Genomic DNA, 3,762 nt, shown 5'->3' with positions numbered 1-3,762 from the left:
CAGATCTTTAGGAGAAACTCCTTGATCTCTCTGAGCTTCGGTTTCCTCATCAGAAAAGTGGAGGAAACAATTCTGTCCAGCTCACCTCAGAGGGCAGTTGTATGTTTCAGATGAAATAACATACGTGAACCTGCTTCATGGATACGAGACTCCTCTGGCCCCACGAGAGTTTATTAAAGCAGCAAGACCCGCCATGGGCTGCTCTAACAGCTTATCAAAAAATCACGGTAGCTACAAGAAAAAATCTAAAGCTTCATTTTCCCCCATTTTGCATGCCTATAATTCCTGGGCTTGTTGGTCAATATATGCCTTACAAATGAGCTCTTACCAGGCCTGGCATTTTGTATCTATTTTCTCCTGAAACTATTTTTCAGTAGAGAAATTCTACCTGTGCAACAAAGATGCAGGCTCAAGGTCACTCAGAATGAACTTCTGTGTGTACCAGATGGGTGGTTTTGACACAGCAAGGTGTGTGAGGAAGAAAAGAAGAAAAGAAGGAAGGGAAGAAGGGAGGGAGGGTGCAGCGAAGGAGGGAGGGAGGGCACTCCATTTGAGGAAAAGGAGACCACCTGCCCCTGAAAACCTTCGTGAAGGGTGCAGATAGGTACACACTGCTAATCTGCTCCTGACCTCTCCAGGAGAGGCCGAGGGAGGGAGAGTTCTGGAGAGGTCACCAGAGGTGGAAGTGGCTTTCAATTGCTTTTCAACTGGCTTCTACGGGAAAACAGGAAGAAAGGAATCAAATCAGGGAGCTCTCAAAGGTTGAGGTTCTCAGAGCTGGTGAGAGCCCGTTGATTTCTGAGGCAGAGGACAACTGTGGGAAGAAATGCCAAACACTGAGACCTCGGCTGATGCAACAGAAGAAGGAACCTTAGGTCTGAGTCCAGAAGTGGGGCTCAGATGTGCCTTGCACATGGCCCAGGACAAGTCACTTCTACCCTCTGGGTCTCGGTTTCCCCTTGTATGCAGCTGGAGAGCTGGATTGTGTGAGCTGTAAGCATCTTTCCAGAGGTGACCTGTGTCATCCATGATGAAGCTGTCAGGTGCAGAAACTCAAGTAATGGAGGAGGCTGGTTCCCTGGAGGCCACGCCCCTCCTCTCTGCCTCTCTGTAGATGAGGATTTCCCATCCTCATCTACACTCACTGGTTGAGTTCCTAACAGAAGAAGCCTGCTCGTAGTCATTGACCCAGCCTTACAGGGTCTGTCCACCAGGCTGTCCTGTTTACTCCTCCCAACAACCCTGTGGGCAAATAATAATAACTATGGGCAGCTGAGTGATGTTCTGTGCCAAGCACTCTTCTGAGCCCTTTCCATTTTTACAATAATTTTACTTAATTCTCACCATAATCACATGACATATAGGTATTGTTGTCCCCATTTTACTGATGTCCCCTTGCCCTGCCACACATGAGCAGATGCACAGAAGGGCTCCTCTACATGCCAGTGACCCCAAGCCTCTGAGCCTGACCTCTACCCTCTATAGCCCCTTTGGCTGGAGGAGCTGAACTTCAGTCCCCGGGCCAGCACCTGCCTGCTTGCATTAGGCCTTTAATTCTTCCTTTAATTCTTCCTGGCTGTCCTTGGCTCTGGTGTCCCTCCTGCCAAAGGGGGATCTTGAGAAATCATTCTCCTGATGCCACTCAGGTGGGCTGGGTCTTCAGGGAGAGGATGCATTTCTTCTTACAAGTCTGCTCCTCCCAGGAGAAGAGGCGGCCCACCCAAGTCTCCCCAGGCAGCCTGGACAAGTGTCTGTTCTAGGAAACTGGCCCAATGTTTCTTCCTTCCTCGCCTCCCAGAGGACCCAGGATTATGTCTGCAGAGCCAAGCCGTCCACCTGCATCCCAGATCCCAAGGCCTCCCTCCCGGCACTTCCTGCCCTCCCTGGCAGCCCCATCTCTCTCCTGCTATACTGATTCCTTCCCATTGTCCACAGCTAAAATGCGGCAGAGAGCGCCCCAACCTCAAGTCAGGAGACTGCAGATAAAATCCGGCTCTGACACTGACTGAATATGTGACTCTAGACAAGGTCAGTCATCTTGCCGAGTCTGTTTCCTTACCTGGGGATTGGAGTTCTGAGGTTATGGTTCAGCACTTTCTCTCCAGTCTGATTTCCTGCTGCTTCTCCTCTTGCCACTTCTGTTCCATCCAGACCCGTCTCCTGTCCGCAGATTATGTAAGAAATTTATTCAATAAATAGGCTGAGCACACAAGCCCTGATATGAAGAAGTCTACAGAACAGTGGGACAGGGAGATGATAAACAGGCAATCACAAGTCAGTGTCCCGAGAACTGTGAGGCCCAAAGTGGAGGGTGCTGGCTGGGAAACTGAGGAAAGGCATCACGCGCAGGCTCAGAATGCCCGTGAAGGCTTCCCAGGGAGGAGGCAGCAAGCCAAGAGCTGAGGGCTGGTAGGAATCAGCCTCTGGGCCAGGTGGCTCACGCCTGTAATCCCAACACTTTGGGAGGCCAAGGCAGGCACATCACTTGAGGCCAGGAGTTCGAGACCAGCCTGGCCAACATGGTGGAACCCCGTCTCTACTAAAAATACAAAAAAATTAGCCAGGCGTGGTGGCATGCACCTATAATCCCAGCTACTCTGGAGGCTGAGGCACGAGAATCTTTTGAACCCGGGAGGCGAAGGTTGCAGTAAGCCAAGATGGCACCCCAGCCTGGGCGATAGAGTGAGACAGTCTCCAAAAAAAAGATTCAGCCTCTAAAGAGTGGGGAAGGGGAAGAAGGGGAAGAATAAGAATATTTCAGGCAGAGAGAGCAGCGTATCCCAAGACCCTCAAACAAGAAAAGGTCAGTAGATTAGGGGAAATGTATATGGTTTAGTTTGATTGGACAATATCATGCCCATAGGTATGCATACCCGCATGTGTGCATGTGTGTGTCTGTATGCTCAGCCATGTTGGGGCAGGGGAGGAGAGAGAGGTGAGCCTGGAGAGGTGAGCAGGCACCGACTCCTCACACAGAGCCTGTGGGTCACTCGAGCGTGGGTGTTTTACAGGGAGCAGTGAGGGCCCACTGGAGGGGTTTTAAGCAGGGAAGGGGCATGATCAGGTTTGCATTTTAGAAAGATTCCTCTATCTGCCATAGAAGATAGAAGAAAGAAGGAGAAATTTGATTTTTTTTAAAGAAAAATATTGACAACACCAAGTGACTGTGAAGATGTGAAGCCACTGGAATTCTTATTTCACAGACACTGGAGGAGTGCACATATAATGTGGCACTGCCATTTTAAAGAATCTTTAGCAACACCAGTAGAGTTGAAGATCTGTGTATTTTTGGCCCAGTGTCTTAGTCCATCCAGGCTGCTATCACAGAGTGCCATAAACTGGAGGCTGAAAAGTCCAAAGTCAGGTTGCCAGCAGATTCAGTGTCTAGTGAGGGAATCACCACCTGGTTCATAGATGTTGCCTTCTTGCTATGTCCTCACATGGTGAAAGGAGCGAAGGAGCTTTCTCTGGCCTATTTTATAAGGACACTAATCCCATTCACAAGGGCAGAGCTCTCATCACCTAATCACCTTTCAAAGTCCCCACCTTCTAATACCATTACCTTGGGGATTAGGTTTCAACATATGAATTTTGGAGGGACACAAACATTCAGACCATAGCACCCAGCAATTCCGTTTCTTGGTTTCTACCCTAGGAGAAAACCACATACACATGTGCCCAAAGAGGTATATGGAAGGATATTCACTGCAGTGCCATTTTTAATAGTGAAAAAGTAGAAACAAGCTAACCAGGCATCTATAG

The 3,762-nt window shown here is 49.2% G+C and overlaps 1 annotated feature.

Annotated features, from left to right (window-relative positions):
* Positions 1–207: a silencer, noted in NCBI's record as "fragment chr9:101668137-101668343 (GRCh37/hg19 assembly coordinates)". NCBI's record gives its function as "represses an EF-1alpha promoter that drives an FKBP-Casp9 reporter gene in an ReSE screen in K562 erythroleukemia cells {active_cell/tissue: K562}" and the evidence as "EXISTENCE:reporter gene assay evidence [ECO:0000049][PMID:32094911]".

The sequence above is a fragment of the Homo sapiens genome, chromosome 9 (genome assembly GCF_000001405.40).
Source record: "Homo sapiens chromosome 9, GRCh38.p14 Primary Assembly".
Taxonomy (NCBI): domain Eukaryota; kingdom Metazoa; phylum Chordata; class Mammalia; order Primates; family Hominidae; genus Homo; species Homo sapiens.
Note: the sequence above shows the minus strand (reverse complement) of the source record. Positions and strands in the feature narration are given on the sequence as shown.